This window comes from Homo sapiens, chromosome 3 (genome assembly GCF_000001405.40).
Source record: "Homo sapiens chromosome 3, GRCh38.p14 Primary Assembly".
NCBI classification, from domain to species: domain Eukaryota; kingdom Metazoa; phylum Chordata; class Mammalia; order Primates; family Hominidae; genus Homo; species Homo sapiens.
The window spans coordinates 10,525,401-10,545,514 of NC_000003.12; the positions used below are offsets into that span (position 1 = coordinate 10,525,401).

Genomic DNA, 20,114 nt, shown 5'->3' on the forward strand with positions numbered 1-20,114 from the left:
TTCCTAAAGACAATACAGAGAGTTCTTGTCTGTCCTGCATTCAGTTTCCCCTATTATTCACATCTTCTATTAGAATGATACCTTTCTCATAATCAATGAATCAATATTGATATGTTGATACTAACTAACACCCGCACTTTATTCACATTTCCTCTGTTTTTGCCTAACACCCTTTTCCTCTTCCAGGTCCCCATCTAGGGTGCTGCATTGTATTTAGTCACCATGTCTCCTTAGGTTCCTCTCGGCTGGGACAGTTTTGCAGAATATTATTTGGAAAAAATAAATTCGAATACCTCAGAAGGGGTATTTTGGGCTACAAGAAATATTTTAATCTGGGCGGTGGTTACACCAGTGTAAACCCGTGTAAAAAGTGGTACATTTAAAATTAGTGCACTTTATCTACTATGTGTATCATGCCTCAATTAAAAAAAAAAAGGTTCTCCAATTTGCCACAGTCCCCAGGACTCCCTGTTATATTTCACTCATTCTCTGTCATTGTTTTGTATCATCTGCTTCGCAACTGTATTCATTACACAGTAGATGAATAAGACCCTTCCAGTTTACTCATCTTCAAAGTGGGTATAATAATTTTCTACTTGATAAGGCTGTAGTGAAGATGAACTGGGACAGTATATATCAAGTCCTTAACACAGTGCCTGGTGCACAGTAAGTGTTCAATAAATAGGAATGATGAGGATTATTGTGTGTGTAATATTTGTATTATTAAAACAGGTGTGTGAGCCTTCCTTCTCCTTACAGCAAACCCCATCCTCTCCTTCTCCTCTCTCCTCTGCCTCCTCTTTTGTCTCTGTTCATCTCTGCCTGGGAGGGCCAGGAGGTGGGAGAGACAGAGCAAAGCCTGCAAAGACGGTGTGTACCGGCCAACAGAAGCAGAAGACCCTTGAGCATGACCCCCAGACTGTCCTCAAAGCCCAGGGAAGCTTTGGTGGAAGCTGGGGTTCCAATCATTCCCTATTTAAGGAGTTCCTTGGGGTGCAAGGAGCTTGAGGAGCTCTGCAGTTCCCTGACAGCTTCCTCCAAAGCTATATCCCGCCCCCTCAGAGATTTCCCTGGCCAGTGATCCCTGGACACAGGGATTGGGAGGGCTTTTAGAGGGGTGCTGTGGGTCACGGGGACAAGGTAGCCTCCAACCTGGGCTGTCTGCTGGCTCAACCTCTTGGGGGGATGCCAGATTCCCCTGTGTGGCACCCCCAGACCCATGCCCAGAACCAATGAAGTCAGCGGGAGCTGTCTGTGATGAGTGTGCGGATGGCCAAGAAGGACCCATTAGGGCCAGTGAGGGGGTGTGGGGAGTGGAAAGAATAGGGACTGAGGGGTAGGAGGACAGGACTGGGTCCTGCCTTGCCCTCTGACTTGCTACATGACTGCTGGCGAGTCCCTTCCCCTCTCTGAGTCTCTATTTCCTAATAATAATAACAATAATAGTAACCATGATGATAGTGATGATGGTGGTGGTGGTGGTGACACTAGCTCCCAATTTAAGTATAAGGCATGGGATAAGCCCGTTATGTGTACAGCGTAATTTCATCCTTATACATAACCCACAAGCTAGGTCCTATTATTATCCCCATTTCATGGGTTTTTAAAATGGGGTCAAAGGGTCGAGAGCGTGTGTAAGCCTTCCCAGCTAAACCGTTTGCAAACACAGGATTCAAACTCCAATCTGTCTGACTCAGAAACTGACACCATGACCTAGGTCATCTCCTCTGTATTTGCACCTCTGAGCTGGGCAGGTAGTTTTCCTTCCAGCATCAACCTTGCTGCCTCTGAGGGCGGCTCCCATGTTCAGGGAGGGAAAGGGGGCAGCTCAGAGCTAGCACCTACTGGACACTTGCCTGTGTTGAAGGGCTCCCTCGCTTATCTCATTTGATCTTCACACAGCCTTATGAAATAGGAACTGTTACCACCACCCCCATTTTACAGGGTAGGAAACTGAGGCACAGAGAGATGGAGGTAAATGTCCAAATGGACACCTGGGTGTCAGGATTTGAACCTGGGTCTTCTGGCTACAGAGCCCACGCTCTTGTACTCTTTCACCGCCCTCTGGAGGGAGCACTCCTATGGAGCTGGGTGAGGCCAGAGACAGTCCCTCCTGGGGCTCCTCATCAATACCTACAGAGCTTGCCTGGGCCAGGGCTTGCCCTCCACTCTCCCTCTGAGACAAGGACTCAAAGCCTCACAGGTTCCTCTCCTTATACTCTTTCCATCTCAGGAACCCCCTACCTCCCCACCACTGCCCTGCCCTGAACTGGAGACCCAGGCTTCTGAGGAGACCAACCAGTCCAGGGCTGTGGGGAGTGCCTCGCGAACCCAGCCTCCCATACCTGGCCAGAGATGGCGGTGAATCACCCGGTGTCCCCGCTGGGTTTCAGGCCACGGACACAAGTACCCTCTCTGACTGCTCGGCTCCAGCACCTACAGTCACTGCAGAAGTCTGCAGCGTATGGCCACACCCTGCAAGGTGGCCACGGCACCGAGGCCTGGCTGCCAGCAGGGCTGCCTCCCTTTCTGGCCTGAGGATCGGTGAGGAGGGAGGTGGGGTGGGGAGGGGCAGGGGAGCAGGGCTGGCCACTAAGGTCTGTGGGCTGGCCTTCACAGTGCGGTAATCGGCAAAACAGTGGTCTCTGTCAAAAGCAACATGGGTGGCGGGCATAACTCTGTACCCCTGGCTTCTTCTTGGGCTTTTGTTCTCACGAGCATGAGGCTCCTGATCCTATCAGCAATACCCTGGCTTCAGCCCTGGCTACCTGGAAGTTCTTTTGTTCTGAGGACTCTCTGTACAACTGGCTGGCATGGAGCAGCCCTGGGAACGTGGGGAAAGGGTGGCTACGACGCGTGCATCTGGCCCAACCCAAGGAAGCTTCCACTGAAACAAGTCACGTGGGGAAATGCCAGGCCAGGAGAGCCTGGGCCAAACAGCACAGAATCTTGCTTCCTCCAGGAAGCCTCTCTGGACTAAGGGGAAAAAAGGGTAACAGAGTCCCCCACCCACCTTGCCTCTGGGCCCCATGACACTCCTTGCTTGTGCCCTATAATGTGCCTGATCACTTTCTCTTCATAGAGAAACAGGAAGAAAACATTTATTGTTTCCTGCTGAGCAACTTGTCCTTCCTCCAGCATCCTTGGAGAAGGGGCACTTTCCACATGAGCAAGTTTCCTAGCCACTGTAATCTTCCTCCTTCGTGTGCCAACGTGTGTTTTATCTTAAATATTTCTGGTGTAAGGAACACACCCCTGAATATATTTTTCACTTTTATGTGAATTGATATTTTGCTAATCACAGCAACTCCTGTTTGACAAATAGCAGAACATCTATGCTGCAAACATATTATTTAGTCAACCTAGCGACTTCCTTCGCTTCCCAGCCTTTTGCTTTTAAAAATACGGTTTAAGCAGGTGCGTTGGCTCATGCCCGTGATCCCGGCTACTTGCTTGGTGCTGGTGTCAGTGTGTGAATATGGATTGTAGGCTCTCAGTTCAAGCAATGTGGGAACTGCTCATATTTGGGATGGGGAAGCTTAGTTAACTTTCCCAGATCCATGAGATGACTTGGGAGGAAAAAAATGGAGAGCTGGCAATAAAGGGGGTCCAGCACTGACCCCCCACCTCTCTGGGCATCCCAGCCAAGCGGGGGTGATGGGCTCATGTCTCTGTGCTACTTCCCACCTTCCCGGGGGAAGACTCAAGAGCAGGTGTTATCTCAGAATGAAAGTCAAGTGACTGATGAGAGGGAGTAGGGGCTCCCCAGAGGTTCTCAGACCACCCAGGAAGGACATTACTTCTCTAGGGAAACAAAGACAGGAGGTGACCCAGGAAGAAAACCTCTTTCTCTCACGCTTTGAAGATTATTTTGGGAACGATCTTCCTGGTACTCCCCTATCCAACAACAGCCAGTTGCGTACTTACCTGTTTTGTGGCCTTCCTGCCTGTAACCACCTTGAAAGCTAAGTCCCTGGCTTCCCGTGTCTCCAGAGTCTAGCATATAGTTGTGCTGAGAAAGAGCTCAGCTTCAAACTTACAGGCTCTTTATGTAAGACAATGACCCCACAGTCTCAGATTGGAGTTTAAGATGCCAATGGGCATCTCCTGGAAGCTAAGATATCAGTGATTTTTAGAAGGATGTCAGACTTCTAGAGAATGATGTAAAATATTCTTCGAGTCTATTTGGGAACTTAAATATCATGAAAGAACTGGTGGTCTGTCCAGAATCAGCTTCAAATCATTATGATAGGGATAAGGGTTGAACTATGTCCTCCCAAAAAGATAGGTTGAAGTCCTAACCCCTCATACCCCAGAATGTGAGGTACAGATGGGCGTTGACAGAGGGTGTTTACAGAGGTGATCAAGTTAAAATGAGGCCACTAGAATGGGCCCTAATCTGGAATGATTTGGTGTCCTTACAAAAAGGGGATCTTTGGACACAGAGGCACTCACTGGGGGAAGACGATGTGAAGGCAGGGGACTAGAGTGCTACTTCTCTACTCCAAGGAGCTCCAAAGATGGCCGGCGAACCACTGGAAGCCAGGAGAGAGGCCGGGAAAGAGTCAGCCTCCCCATCCTCGGAAGGAACCAAGCCCTCTGACACCTTGATCTTGGACTCCTAGTCTCCAGAACGTGAGACAACACATTTCTGTTAGTTTGTGGTCATGTGTCACGGCAGCCCTCACAAACTAATACAGATGACAGACTCTCTTTTCGCAGTGCTCAGGTGGCTGAGAGCGACCGACACAGTCCCAGCAAAGGCGCCTGAGGTCCTCACCATTTGAGGCGATTGTTCCCACCGGGGACCACCAAAAGAACAAAACTCACTGAGCAGTTGTCAATATTCCAGGCCCTAAGCTGGGCATATCCTATTTTCTCTTCCATCGAATCCTTCCGACATCCTCAAAAAGGAGGACTCCCATTTTAAAGAATATAAAACTGAGGTGAGAAGCACTTAAGTGAAACTTGTCCAGGACTGCACAGCCGGGACCTGCACCTGGCAGAGGGGAGACGACCTGCGGCCGGAGTGTCCCACCGCACCACGCTTCCTCCCCAAGTGAGGCCTAGTGCGACAGCTCCCTGGCTCTGACGAGTGGTTACCAGAGGTTTGGGGTGTGTGTTGATGCAACCTCTTTGTTCCCTTCCCTGAGTTTTAGACTGGGGCAGTCTGGCCACAGACAGGGCTCACGTTTTTTTCCTTCGTTCTCTCGTTGAAGAGAGCAGGATTGCAGGGAAAAGTTCAAACTCCCCAAAAGGATAAGCTGTTTAAGAATCCTCAAGTCCTTTTAAAGCCCTACTTTGTGCCAATTTCCACCTTTTACAAAGGGCTCCCATCCCCCAGCAAGGCCCCTCAGATGGGAATTATTGCCCACATTTTAAGGAGGGATGAGTCAGTTGCTTTGTAAACTGGTGTTGATTACAACTGCCTAATACGTTGCTGACGTGGAAATTCTGCCGATTGAACTTATTTATAAGGAAAGATGCCTGTCATTTTTAGTTAGAAAGGGTTTCTGCTGGGGAGGATTTAGTTGTCGTTCTGGCACAGTCTTGGGGTAAAACATTTTCCATAAACGTTTTCTGACTCCACAACTTCCCTCAGTTGGTTTTCCTCTCTGGATGTTCCTGCTGGCAAAGAGAGTGACAAGATTCCCTGATTCCCTTATTGAGGCAGTGACTCGAGCTGCTTTGTGGTTGGAACATCTTGGCAGTTGCAGGAGGGGCAGCCTCTGGGAGGACCTTTCACTCTGGCTCCAGAGAGAACAGGTCAGCCCTCAGGGTTGAGGGTCTGCTGGCACACACTCCCTCCCCTCGGGCTCAGCCCAGGCCTGCCCCAAAAGTAGTGCTGCTGAATGTCCCATCGACAGTGAGCCAGTGGCTTTGACCCCAGACTTGGAAACGCAGACAGTGCCGGGTCAGAGTGCTGGTTCCCAGCAGATGCTACTTCTTCCACCTGCACTTCATTTTACTGAAAATCTGAACTCCAGAGCCATACTACCTGGGTTCAAATCCCAACTCGGGTGGGATTAACACTGAACACTCTGCTTCAGTTTCTTCCTTTGTACAATGGGGATAAGAATGGTCATGCCTGTCTTATGGGGCTGTTGTGAGGACTAAATGATTAAAAATTTTAAAGCATTTAGAACAGGCCCTGGCACAAGGCGAGCCCTGCATTAAGTGATTGCTATGGTGATTTTTGTGACTATGAATTCATTCAACCAACATGGGTTGTATGTGTGGAGAGAGATGCTACTTCCTGGCAATCCAGGCGTTGGACTTAACCACTCTGGGCCTTGCTTTCCTCTTCTGTGAAATGAGGATAACAAAATTGTACATGCCACAGGCTGGTAGTGAGGACAAGGGGCTCATCGCAATGCCTGGCACGCAGTGGGTACTTAGGGACTCCTAGGCACTGAGATGATTATTAACATTGGTGTGACTGTGATTCCTACTGGCCATCAGGTCAGGTCCTCCATCGCTGCCCTTGGAGAAACTTAGAATCACCTTGGACAGACCCACTTCTGAGGCTACAAGTTCATCACTTAGGGTCTGGGTGGCCCTCATGTCCTCCTTGGATTCTCCCCGCCCCACCACCCTGGCACCCCCAACCTAGAACTGTGATCTGGCCCTTTCTGATGTGCCCCTCACCCCCCCATCCTCTCCTGGCTTTGGAAGGATGTTTCTCAAACATTGATCGGACCACTGGAAACCCCCAATAACTTCACCACTGCACATAGATTGTAATTCAAACTCCTCACAGGGGCCCTCTGCTCACATTACCACTTTATCTTGGGCCCTGTTCATCCCTCCCCAGTCCCACTGAGGCCAGGGGTCTCTTTGTCCCATTCATAAAGGCACATGAGAGGTGAATAAAAGTATAACAATGACCGCACATAGAGAGTGCTCAATAAACACTTGTAACCAAATAAACAGGTAGCTAAGCCCTGGCTTCGAGCATCCTTTAGAGAGAAGATGATGCATCTTTGTTATTATATAACAAAACAGGTTGAATTCCATGGTGAAAATTCCACTACCTGGTTTCCACTGATGGGCATGGGAAGCCTTTGTCAACCCATTTCAGGAGGAGGAGAGGAGCGACGTCACCGCCTCTCCCTGAGGATGGCTTGTGGATGGCTCTCCTCAACCTCCTTCCCCACCTATGCCTGTCAAAAGCTGCTGGGTTTAGATGCTCAAGTTTCTGTTCTGTATTATGGGTCATTTAATATTCAAGAGATGGCATTAAATAAATATGTGAGCAATTATGTAATGTGTTTGGAAACAATCTGGTTCGTCCCAAAGTGCTTGGGCAAGAAACCAAACTTTAGCGAAGCAAGAGGTCTGGGTGGTGTCTGAAGGCTGAACAGGGAGGCATGTGGCCCATCTGCTTGTTTGCTCCCTCCCTGAGTTGAGTCTGTGGTTACTCATCTTCAGGCAGGCACAAAGGCAGTAGGAAGCCAGTGATGCTTGCTTGCACAGTTAGAAGCTCAGGGTTGCATGCTGGCTGCAAAGTTTCTTCTCTCTGGGCATCAGTTTTCTCATTTGTGAAAAGGGCTAATGGCGGCTACTGGGAAGGTCAGATGAGATGGCAACTCTAAGCTCTGGCTCCGAGGACAAGCTTGTGCAACGTAAGTTGTGTCTGATGCTGAAAGATGAGCAGTGAGAGCTCTGATCTCTTACATGTTGGGTCCATGGGGCATGCACTCCAAGATTTGTATATCACCCTAATGTAAGGTTGGCCAAGCAAGGCAAATAGCAGAGGCCCCAAGAAAGGGCTTCAGGAGCACAGAGGAAGACATGGTTGATTTCAGCAAGGAGCCACAGAAATCTCACAGAGCTGCTGTATATGCTGGCTCTGGAAGGTTGAGTGGTGTTCTGGCCTCAGAGAGATGGCTGCCCCATTTAACTAACATGCATCATGCACCTAGAAGGTCTATTCATTTGGTAAGTATTTAATGAGCACCTACTATGTTCCAGCTACTCTGCTAAGCACTTTACATGAATCATCTGCAAAATGCCGTTTTACAGATGAGGGATCTGAGACTCAGAGGGGCTGTCCCAGTTGCAGAGCTAGTATTTGAACCTGGGACTGAGTCCAGCTGCCAAGCTCTCAATAACCAATAAACATACTACTGCCACTCCTGTCCTCTCTGTCAGCACTTAGCACATGTCCCAGTAAGCCCACCTGACTACCCCAGCTCCAACGCTTCATGTGCAGGCTGGGGCATGGCCCAGAGGGTAGAAGAATGAAGCAGGACCAGGTGAGGTGGCTGGCTTTTCATTCAGGCACCGGTCTATCCTCCCAGGGCAGAGGCAGTGTCAGATCCGCCTGGGCTCCCCAGTGCCAGTGCTGGGACAGACCCTGGATTGACAACCATCCACCATGTGACATGATGGGGCCTTCCTCCTCCACAGTCTACACCATGCTCCTAATTCAAATGCCATAGGGCTTCCAGGGAATTTCCCCAAACCAGCCCAATGTTGCATAAATAATACACATGTCCCCAATAGGATGACAGAGAGGACAGCTGCTTTTAAACACTGGGTTCCTGCTCAGTTGACCCTCCATTGGCAACCCCCACCCCCAGCAGCTCTCTTCCCAGGCTGATACCCCCCAGTCAAGCCCCCGTCTCCAACTCACCCCTCCACGTCTTCTGGTTAAATGAGAGGTGTCAGGGTCTGGAAACTGGGGCCCATGTCTTGCTGGCTCTAGGGACTGGGTGACGAAGTTCAGCTCTGGAAAAGGGGAAAGATGGCATTAGTTAGGGGTGGGTGACATGACAGGGACCCAGGTCAGAAAGGAGAAGGGAAGGTAACCGTGGTGTGGAGTGTCCCCGATGTGCTGGCTCTAGGCTAGGGATGGGTTTGACAAGGACCTGGCCCTTGCCTTCTGCATTCAGACCAGCCTGGGTGGGCTTTGCCCCTCCTGGGTCCAGAGACCATCTCAGGAGTGCAAGTCCACCTGCTGGCAGGGGTCTCTCTGTCTGATACTGGGAAGGTTGAGTGGCAGGCCCCAGAGAGAGGGCTGCCCCTTTCACTAACATGCATCGGGCATCTAGCCATTCTATTCATTTGATAACTATTTCATGAGCACCTACTACATTCCAGCTACTCTGGTAAACACTTTACATAAATTATCTTTGCTGGATCTTCATAAGATGCCACCGTTGTCCCCATTTTACAGATGGCCTGTGTGTGGCCTGTGAGGGCAGAGGGGGTGTGAAAGAGTGGTCACAGGTGTGTGCCCTGGAGAGACAGAGATACTTTCTTGGGCAAGTGACTTAAATTTCCTGAGCCTCCTTTTCCTCATCTGGAGGATAAAGATCATAATACCTATTTTTCAGGATTTTTGTGAGGGGTAACTAAAATATAATATGCATAAGTGCCGTGGGTCTTAGAAACGCCCGACAAACAGCAGCAGCAGAGGGCACTGGATGCTATAGGGCTCCCTATCAGCTTCCTTCTCTCTCTCTCTCTCAATCCATTTATTCATTTATTTGGTTTTTTTTTTTTTTTTTTTTTTTGAGATGGAGTCTCACTCTGTCATCCAGGCTGGAGTGCAATGGCATGATCTCAGCTCACTGAGATCTCTGCCTCCCGGGTTCAAGCGATTTTCCTGCCTCAGCCTCCCAAGGGGCCAGGATTACAGGCACATGCTGCCATGCCTGACTAACTTTTTTGTATTTTAGTAGAGATGGGGTTTCACCGTGTTGCCAGGCTGGTCTCCAACTCCTGAGTTTAGGTGATCCACCTTCCTAGGCCTCCCAAAGTGCTAGGATTACAGGCATGAGCCACCGCCCCCAGCCCTATTTGTAACTTTTTATTTTAAATAGTTATCGATTCAAAAGAAATTGCAAAGAAATGTACAGAGAGATCCCATGCACCTCCCTCCAGACTTCCCCAAGTTTAACTTGCACTACTGCAGCATGCCATAAAAACCAGTCTTGTGACATCATACAATCTACAGCGCTTGCATGCAGCAGTTTGATGTGTGTGTGTGTGTGTGTGTGTGTGTGTGTGTAGCTCTATGAAATGTTATCTGTAGTTTTGTGTCACCACCACCACTACAATCAAGATGTAGAACTGTTCCATCCCTACAAGGCTTCCTTGGGCTACCCTGTTATAGTCATGCCCCTCATCCCTAACCCCTGGCAACCTCTAGCCTGTTCTCCATCTCTCTAATATTGTTCTTTCAATGATGTTATATAAATGGAGTCATGTGGTATATAACCTTTTGGGACTGGCTTTTTTCATTCTGCAGAATTCCCTGGAGATTCCTCTAGGTGGTTGTGTGTAACAAGAGTTCGCTCCTTTTTATTGTTGGGTAGTATTCCCTACGTGGATGCATTACAGGTTGTTTAACTATCAATCAGTGAAAGGACATCTGTGTTACTCCTAGTTGTGGGGTATTATAAACATTTATGTAAGGTTTTTTGTGTGAACAAATTGTTTTCATTTGTTTGGAATAAATGCCCAAGAGTGCAATTGTTGGGTTGTATGGCAGTTGATTTTTCTTTTTTCTTTTTTTTTTAAGAAACTGTCAAACTGTTTTCCAGTATGGTAAATGACTGTAGCATTTTACATTCCCACCAGCAATGTACAAGTGGATCCAATTTCTCTGCATCTTCATCGACATTTGGTGTTGTCACTATTTTCTATTTTAGCCATTCTGATAGGTGTGTAATAATATCTAATTGAGGGTTTATTTTGCATTTCCCTAATGACTAATGATGTTGCACATCTTTTCACGTGCTTATTTGTCATCTATATATACTCTTTGTTGAGATGTCTTTTGCCCATTTTTAAATTGGATTTTTAAATTGCTGAGTTTTGAGACTTTTTTGTATATGTTAGATACCAGTACCTCATCGGTTTTGTGGTTTGCAAATATTTTCTTCTAGTCCATAGCTTAGCTTTTTATCCTTGTCACAGGATTTTTTTTTTTTTTGTCTTTTTATCCTTGTCACAGGATTTTTTTGCCTGTTTTATGGATTTGCTTTCCTCTTCTTCTTCTTCTGCTTCTCTTCTTCTTCTTCTTCCTCTTCCTGTCTTTCTTCCTCTCCTTCCTCCTTCCTCCTCCTCCTCCTCTTTCTCCTTCTCCTTCTTTTCCTCCTCCTCCTCCTTTCTTCTTTCTTCTTCTTCTTTTTGAGAAAGGGTCTCACTCTGTCACCCAGGCTGGAGTGCAGTGGCATGATCATAGCTCACTGCAGCCTTGAACTCCCAGGCTCAAGCAAACCTCCTGCCTCAGCCTCCTGAATAGCTGGGACTACAAGTGTGCACCACTATGCCCAGCTAATTTTATTTATTTTTAGTAGTGACAAGGTCTCACTAAGTTGCCCAGGCTGGTCCTGAACTCCTGGGCTGAAGCAATCCTCACACTTTGGCCTCCCAAAGTGTTGGGATTACAGGCCTGAGCCACCACACCCAGCCTCTTACTTTTTGTCTACAAGCTTTAGAGTTTTACATGTTATATTGAAGTCCATGGTCCATTATGAGTTAATTTTTACATGTGGTGTGAGACTTAGGTTGAAGTTATTATCATTTTCATTATTTTTTCCTACGGATGTCCAATTGCTCTAGCACCATTTGTTGAAAAGGTTATCATCTTTACTCCATTGAATTGCTTTTGTACCTTTGTTAAAAATAGGTTGGGCATATTTGTGTGGGTTTCTTTCTGGGTCATCTACTCAGTCCATTGATCTATGTGTCATATCTCTGTCAATACTACTGTCATGATTTCTATATAATAAATCTTGAAATCAGATAAACTGATTCTTCATTCTTTTTCAAAATTGTTTTAGATATTCTAAATTCTTTGCTTTTCCTTATAAATTTTATAATCTTTTCTACATCTATACTGATTTTTCTGAGATTTTGATAGAAATTGCACAGAACAGACATCTTTGCTATGTTAAGTCTTCCAATCCATGAACACAAGTCTCTTCATTTATTTAGGCTTTTAAAACTTCTTTCATCTGTGTTTAATAATTTTCATCATACAAATCCTATAGATTGGTTAAATTTATACCTATTTCATTTTTTTGAGTGATTGTAAATGGCATTGTATTTAAAATTTTGGTGTCCACGTATCCATTGCTAGTGTATGAAAATACATTTTTTTTTTGTATGCTTAGCTTGTATCCTGTAACTTTCCTGAACTCACTTATTACTTCTAGGAGGTTTGTGTTTTTAGATTCCTTGGGATTTTTATGTAGACAATCAAGTCATCTGCAAACAGGGAGAGTTTTATTTCTTCCTTTGAATTTGTATATGTTTTCTTGTCTTTTGCACTAGCTATAGCTTTTAGCACTATGTTGAATATAATGATGAGAGCTGGCATCCTTGTCTTGTTCCCAATCTCAGGGGAAAGCATTCAGTAAGTATAACATAGTTTTTAAAAATGCTCTTTATCAAGGTGAGGAAGTTTCTCTCTATTCCTACTTTTTCTGTGTTTTATGACGAATGGGTGTTGAATTTGCTTTTCCTACATTGATGGATACCATCATGTGATTTTCTTCTTTAGCCCGTTAATATGGTGGATTATATTAACTGGTATTTAAATGTTAAGCCAACCCTGCATCCCTTGAATAAACCCCACTTGGTCATGATGCATAATTCTTTTTACACAGTGTTGAATTCTGTTTGTTAATGTTTTGTTAAAGATTTTCACATGTATACACATGACGGATGTTAAGTCTGCAGTTTTGTTTGTATTGTCTTTGTCTGGTTTTGATATTATGATAATAGTAGCTCCTTAAAATATATTGGAATTGTTTCTTCCTCTTCTATTTACTGGAAGACATTGTATAGAATTGGTGTTAATTTTTTAAACACTTGGTAAAATTCTGCAGTGAAACTACCTGGTCCTGACAGATTCACAGCCGAATTCTACCAGAGGTACAAAGAGGAGCTGGTACCATTCCTTCTGAAAATATTCCCATCAATAGAAAAAGAGGGAATCCTCCCTAATTCATTTTATGAGGCCAGCATCATCCTGATACCAAAGCCTGGTAGAGACACAACAAAAAAAGAGAATTTTAGACCAATATCCCTGATGAACATCGATGCAAAAACCCTCAATAAAATACTGGCAAACTGAATCCAGCAGCACATCAAAAAGCTTATCCGCCACGATCAAGTTGGCTTCATTCCTGGGATGCAAGGTTGGTTCAACATACGCAAATCAATAAATGTAATCCAGCATATTAACAGAACCAAAGACAAAAACCACTTGACTGTCTCAATAGATGCAGAAAAGGCCTTCGACAAAATTCAACAGTGCTTCATGTTAAAACTCTCAATAAATTAGGTATTGATGGGACGTATCTCAACATAATAAGAGCTATTTATGACCAACCCACAGCCAATATCATACTGAATGGGCAAAAACTGGAAGCATTCCCTTTGAAAACTGGCACAAGACAGGGATGCTCTCTCTCACCACTCCTATTCAACATACTGTTTGAAGTTCTGGCCAGGGCAATCAGGCAGGAGAAAGAAATAAAGGGTATTCAATTAGGAAAAGAGGAAGTCAAATTGTCCCTGTTTGCAGATGACATGGCTGTATATTTAGAAAACCCCATCATCTCAGCCCAAAATCTTCTTAAGCTAATAAGCAACTTCAGCAAAGTCTCAGGATACAAAATCAATGTGCAAAAATCACAAGCATTCCTATACACCAATAATAGACAGAGAGCCAAATCATGAGTGAACTCCCATTCACAATTGCTTCAAAGAGAATAAAATACCTAGAAATCCAACACACAAGGGATGTGAAGGACCTCTTCAAGGAGAACTACAAACCACTGCTCAATGAAATAAAAGAGGACACCAACAAATGGAAGAACATTCCATGCTCATGGATAGGAAGAATCAATGTCGTGAAAATGGCCATACTGCCCAAGGTAATTTATAGATTCAATACTAACCTCATCAAGCTACCAATGACTTTCTTCACAGAATTGGAAAAAACTGCTTTAAAGTTCATATGGAACCAAAAAAGAGCCCACATTTCTAAGACAATCCTAAGCAAAAAGAACAAAGCTGGAGACATCACGCTACCTGACTTCAAACTATACTACAAGGCTATAGTAACCAAAACAGCATGGTACCAAAACAGAGATACAGACCAATGGAACCAAACAGAGCCCTCGGAAATAATACCACAAATCTACAACCATCTGATCTTTGACAAACCTGACAACAACAAGAAATGGGGAAAGGATCCCCTATTTAATAAATAGTGCTGGGAAAACTGGCTAGCCAAATGTAGAAAGCTGAAACTGGATCCCTTCCTTACACCTTATACAAAAATTAATTCAAGTTGGATTAAATACTTAAATGTTAGACCTAAAAACCATAAAAACCCTAGAAGAAAACCTAGGCAATACCATTCAGGACACAGGCATGGGCAAGGACTTCATGACTAAAACACCAAAAGCAATAGCAACGAAAGCCAAAATAGACAAATGGGATCTAATTAAACTAAAGAGCTTCTGCACAGCAAAAGAAACTACCATCAGAGTGAACAGGCAACCTACAGAATGGGAGAAAATTTTTGCAATCTACCCATCCGAAAAAGGGCTAATATCCAGAATCTACAAAGAACTTAAACAAATTTACAAGAAAATATCAAACAACCCCATCAAAAAGTGGGTGAAGGATATGAACAGACATTTCTCAAAAGAAGACATTTATGCAGCCAACAGACACATGAAAAAATGCTCATCATCACTGGCCATCAGAGAAATGCAAATCAAAACCACAATGAGATACCATCTCACACCAGTTAGAATGGTGATCATTAAAAAGTCAGGAAACAACAGGTGCTGGAGAGGATGTAGAGAAATAGGAACACTTTTACACTGTTGGTGGGACTGTAAACTAGTTCAACCATTGTGGAAGACTGTGTGGTGATTCCTCAAGAATCTAGAACTAGAAATACCATTTGATTCCGTGATCCCATTACTGGGTATATACCCAAAGGATTATAAATCACGCTACTATAAAGACATGTGCACACGTATGTTTACTGCAGCAGTATTCACAATATCAAAGACTTGGAACCAACCCAAATGTCCATCAATGATAGACTGGATTAAGAAAATGTGGCAGATATACACCATGGAATACTATGTAGCCATAAAAAAGGATGAGTTAATGTCCTTTGTAGGGACATGGACGAAGCTGGAAACCATCATTCTGAGCAAACTGTTGCAAGGACAGAAAACCAAACATTGCGTGTTCTCACTCATAGGTGGGAATTGAACAATGAGAACACTTGGGCACAGGGTGGAGAACATCACACACTGGGGCCTGTCGTGGGGTGGGGGGAGGGGGGAGGGATAGCATTGGGAGAAATATCTAATGTTAATGATGAGTTAATGGGTGCAGCACAGCAACATGGTACATGTATACATATGTAACAAACCTTCACGTTGTGCACATGTACCCTAGAACTTAAAATATAATTAAAAAAAAAAACTACCTGGTCCTGGGGATTTTTTTTTTAGGAAATTTAAAAATTACAAATTCAATTTCCTTAGTAATTATAGGGATATTAAATTATCTGTTTCATATTGGGTGAATTGTGGTAGTTCGTGTTTTTTGAGGAATTGGTCCATTTCTACTAGGTTGTTAAATTTATATGTGCAGAGTTGTTCATAGTATTCCTTATTGTATTGATGTCTGTGGGGTCTGTAGCGTTATTCTTTGTTTCATTCTCAATTTTGGTCATGTGTGTCTTCTCTTTCTGTCTTGTTCTCTTTTTGGTTAGTTTTGCTAGAATTTTTTGATGTTATTGATCTTTTCAAAGAAATATCTCTGTGTTTCATTGGTTTTCTCTGTCATTTTTTGGTTTTCAACTTTATCGATTTCTACTCTTAACTTTATTATTTCCTTTCTTCTGTTTGGTTTGGGTTTATTTTGCTCTTCCTTTTCTGGCTTCTCAAAGTAGGGGCTTAGATTGTTGATTTCAGAATTCTTTATTTGCTAGTTATGCATGATGCTATAAATTTCCCTCACAGCAATGCTTTAGCTGGTTCCACAAATCTTGATAGGTTCTATTTTAACTGTCATTCAATTTGATATATTTTTAAAATTTACATTTAGACTTTCTCTTTGGCCACAGATTATTTAGATATGCATTATTTAGTTTCTAAGTGATTGGATATTTTCCAAATATCTTTCTGTTATTGACTTCTGGTTTGATTCCACCGTGGCCAGAGAAAATACTCTCCATGATTTCAATTCTTCTAATTTTGCTAATGTTTGTTTTATGATCCAGGATATGGTCTACCTTAGCATATGTTCTGTGGGCGCTTGAAAACAGCATGTATTCTGTTGCTGTTACGGGGAGCATTCTATATGTGTTGATTAGATTTTATTGGCTCATGGTGTTGTTAAGTTCTTCCGTATTCCTGCTGATATCCTGCCTAGTTGCTGTATCAATTATTGGGAGATGAGTGTTGAAGTCTCCAATTGTAATTGTGGTCACTCCTATCAGTTTTTGCCTTACATATTTTACAGGTCTATTGTTTGGTGTACACATATTTAGGATTGCTATGTCTTCCTGATTGACCCTTTTATCATTATATTATAATAATATCCTTCTCTATCTCCAGTAATTTACTTTGCTCTGAAGTTGACTTTATCTGATATTTATATAGCCACTCCCACTTTCTTTTGATTAATGTTTGCATGTGATTTTTTCTATCCTTTTACTTTTAGCTTGCTTATATTATTACATTTGAAGTGAGTCTCTTGTAGCTAGCATGTAGTCAGTCATGTTTTTCAATCCACTCTGCCAATCTTTGTCTTTGAATTGGTGTATTTGGGCCATTGATATTTAATGTAATAATTGATATATTAAGGTTTAAGTCTGTCATTTTATATTTTGTTTTCTGTTTGTTCTTTCTGTATATATTTAGAACCACATCAGACTGTGTTACAATTTTTGCTTCAGTTGTCAAACATAATTTAGAAAACTCAAGAAGAGAAGGAAAGTTTATTGCATTTACCCATATTTTTGCTTATCATGTTCTTCCTTCCTTCCTGATGTCCCAAGAATTCTTTTTAAAAAATTGTCTCCTTTCTGTTTGGAGAACTACAGCCATTCTTTTAGGATAGGTCTTCTGGCAAAAAATTATCTTAGCTTTCCTTCATCTGAGAATGTCTTGATTTCTCCTTCATTTTTGAAAAATATTTTTGCTGGATATGGGACTCTGGGTTGATAGTTCTATTCTTTCAGCATTTGAGAAAGGTGCCACTTCCTCCTGACTGTAATGGTTTCTGAAGAGAAATCTGCTGTCATTCAAAATTTTTACGCCCATAGGTGAGATGTTCTTTCTCACTGCCTTCAAGATTTTTGTTTTGTTTTTAGTTTTTAGAAATGTATTTTTTGTCTTGATGTGGATTTCCTTGGGTTTAACCTCTTTGGAATTTGCTCAGCTTCCTGAATCTGTAGGGTTGGTTTGTGTGTTTTTACCAAATTTGGGATTTTTTGGCCGTTATTTCTTCAGGTACTTTTTCAGCCCCATCCTCTTTTTCTCACCTCCTTCCAGTAGTCCAATGACACGAGTGTTAAATCTTTTGTTAAATCAAGGCTCTGTTCATTTTGTTTTCCAGCCTGCTTTCTCTTTGCTATTTTGATTAGGTAGGTAGTTTCTATTGTTCTATATTTCAGTTCAATCATTCCTTCCTCTGTCCCTTCTGGTCTGCTACTGATTCCTGGCAGGCCCCTGGCTTAAGTCAGAACATAAAATTTAAAAAACTTGATGAATGTGCTTAATAGCAGACTGCTTTTGAACCTGAACTTGGACTTCCAACCTCCAGAATTGTGAGAAAATAAATTACTGTTGTTTAAGCCACCCAGTCTGTGGTATTTTGTTATGGCAGTCTGAGCTTGAATACACTGAGCTTGTTGAGTTTGGGAGTGTAGTGTCAAAGAAAAGTATCTACAATTATCTGAAAAGGCTATTAAAATACTCCTCCTTTTTCCAAAAACATGTCTATGTAAGGCTGAATTTTCTTCATATACATCAATTAAAACATCAATCATATCATAATAGATTGAATGCAGATGTGAATAGGAATCCAACTACCTTCAAGTAAATTGTTAAAGAGACTTGTAAAAATATGAAATAACTTTAATCTTCTAATTGTTTTTGTTTTGGAAAATATAGTTATTTTTCATAAACTATGTTACTTCTGTACCACAATAGATTTGTTATTGTTGTTTTTAAATGAATTAAGAAACAGTATTAAAATCAGTTTTAATTTCTAGTATTGTAAATTTGGAGAGATATAACCTACACAATCAACACTCTTTGAGTGTTCTTCATAATTTTTTTTTTTTTTTTGAGACAGAGTCTCACTCTGTCACCCAGGCTGGAGTGCAATGGCATGATCTCAGCTCACTGCAACCTCCACCTCCTGGGTTCGAGAAATTCTCCTGCCTCAGCCTCCTGGGTACCTGGGACTACAGGCACATGTCATCATGCCCGTCTAATTTTTGTATTTTTAGTAGAGATGGGGTTTCACCACGTTGGCCAGGCTGGTCTCCAACTTCTGACCTCAGGTGATCCGCTTGCCTCGGCCTCCCAAAGTGCTAGGATTATAGGCGTAAGCCACCACACCTGGCCCTGTTCTTCATAATTTTTAAGAACATAATGAGTCTTCAGAAAAGAAGTTTGAGAATTGCTGATTTAGGTCAGCATTTCTCAAACCTCAGTCAATCAAATATGACTGCCATCATGGTCACTATCTCTTCTATCATTGAGCTCATGAGTGTTTTCCCTAATCTGCTTGATTTAAGTTTAAACAATTTTCTTAAAGGGAAAATTTCATCATTACCATCGGTGCAAAACCAGTGCCACTCACCACAAATAGGAGATGAGCACAACAACGAATTACAAAGAAAACAACAGAACATCCTTATGTCTGACAGATCCTATCACCTGCCTAGGGGCCTAGGCCAAAAGTCTGGTCTCTCATCAAACAGAGTTTAACAAATATTTGTGGGGAAGGTCATTAAAAATAGACTACTTCCAGCAGAACCTTTTGCCTTGATGGACCTGGAAGACTGAAAGAGAACTGGAAATGGACTAGTTTTCCCATCAGGTGATGAGCTCTTTTTAATAACACCTAGTATCCTCTTAGATACCCTGGAAGTAGACACTCCACACTTTGGGAGGCTCAGATTTTAATGGCACCAAGATGAAGAGGTGTGTGGATCAGGCTCCCTTCACAAACGATGCTTCTGCCTCTTTGAAGGGGTGCACAGAAGAGGGCTCCACCTGTGCTCAAGAGCCCCAGATCACTGACCTTGGCAGCTAAGCCTGAGTTAAGTGCTCTGCAGCTCAGCCAAGCCCACAGATGATGCTCCTGACAGTCTTCCTCCAAAATCAAATCAGCTCATGTCCTGCAGACACTTCACTTCAAGCTATATTTGCTCAACTCTTGTTTCCACCCGCCCCTTCCAGAATTTGTTTTTCCTCCTGTGTTCCTTTACTAGGAAAATGGCACCATGGCTGAGAATGTCTCCAGCAGTATTGTTTGAAAGAGCCAAACCCTGGAAACAACCATATGCCCAACAGCCAGAGAATGAACCAATAAACTGTAATATCGTCATGGCAGGGAATATTGCACAGCTACGAAAATGCATAAACCACACCTGCAGGAACCACAGGGAGGAGTCTGAGAAACAATGTTTCCCAGTAGAAGAAAGTCGGAAAGAAGCGAGTCTCAGAAGATTACATACTGTATGATGCCATTTTAAAGGACTAAGACAAAAGTGAAACTAAATAATATGCGTTGTAAGCATACACACACATGAAAGAAAACCATTTTTAGGCCGGGTGCAGTGGCTCATGCCTGTAATCCCAGCACTTTGGGAGGCCAAGGCAGGTGGATCACCTGAGGTCAGGAGTTCGAGACCAGCCTGGCCAACATGGGGAAACTCCGTCTCTACAAAAATACAAAAATTAGCCGGGCATGATGGTGGGTGCCTGTAATCCCAGTTACTTGGGAGGCTGCAGCGAGAGAATCGCTTGAACTCAGGAGGTGGAAGTTACAGTGAGCCAAGATCGTGCCTTTGCACTCCAGCCTTGCTGACAGAG

At 43.4% G+C, this 20,114-nt stretch overlaps 1 protein-coding gene across 8 annotated transcripts in view; it reads right to left on the reverse strand.

The window, feature by feature from the left end:
- The window catches only part of ATP2B2 (ATPase plasma membrane Ca2+ transporting 2), a 384,094-nt gene that overhangs the window by 201,378 nt on the left and 162,602 nt on the right, over positions 1–20,114 (reverse strand). For 7 of the 8 annotated variants that reach the window (NM_001438036.1, XM_017006484.3, XM_006713175.5 and 4 more), the window contains one exon: positions 8,639–8,733. The gene's annotated coding sequence lies outside the window, so the exon portion shown is untranslated. Of the gene's footprint in view, positions 1–2,345; positions 2,467–8,638; positions 8,734–20,114 lie in introns of those variants that run through there. The other variant, XM_011533752.4, reaches the window with a different exon arrangement.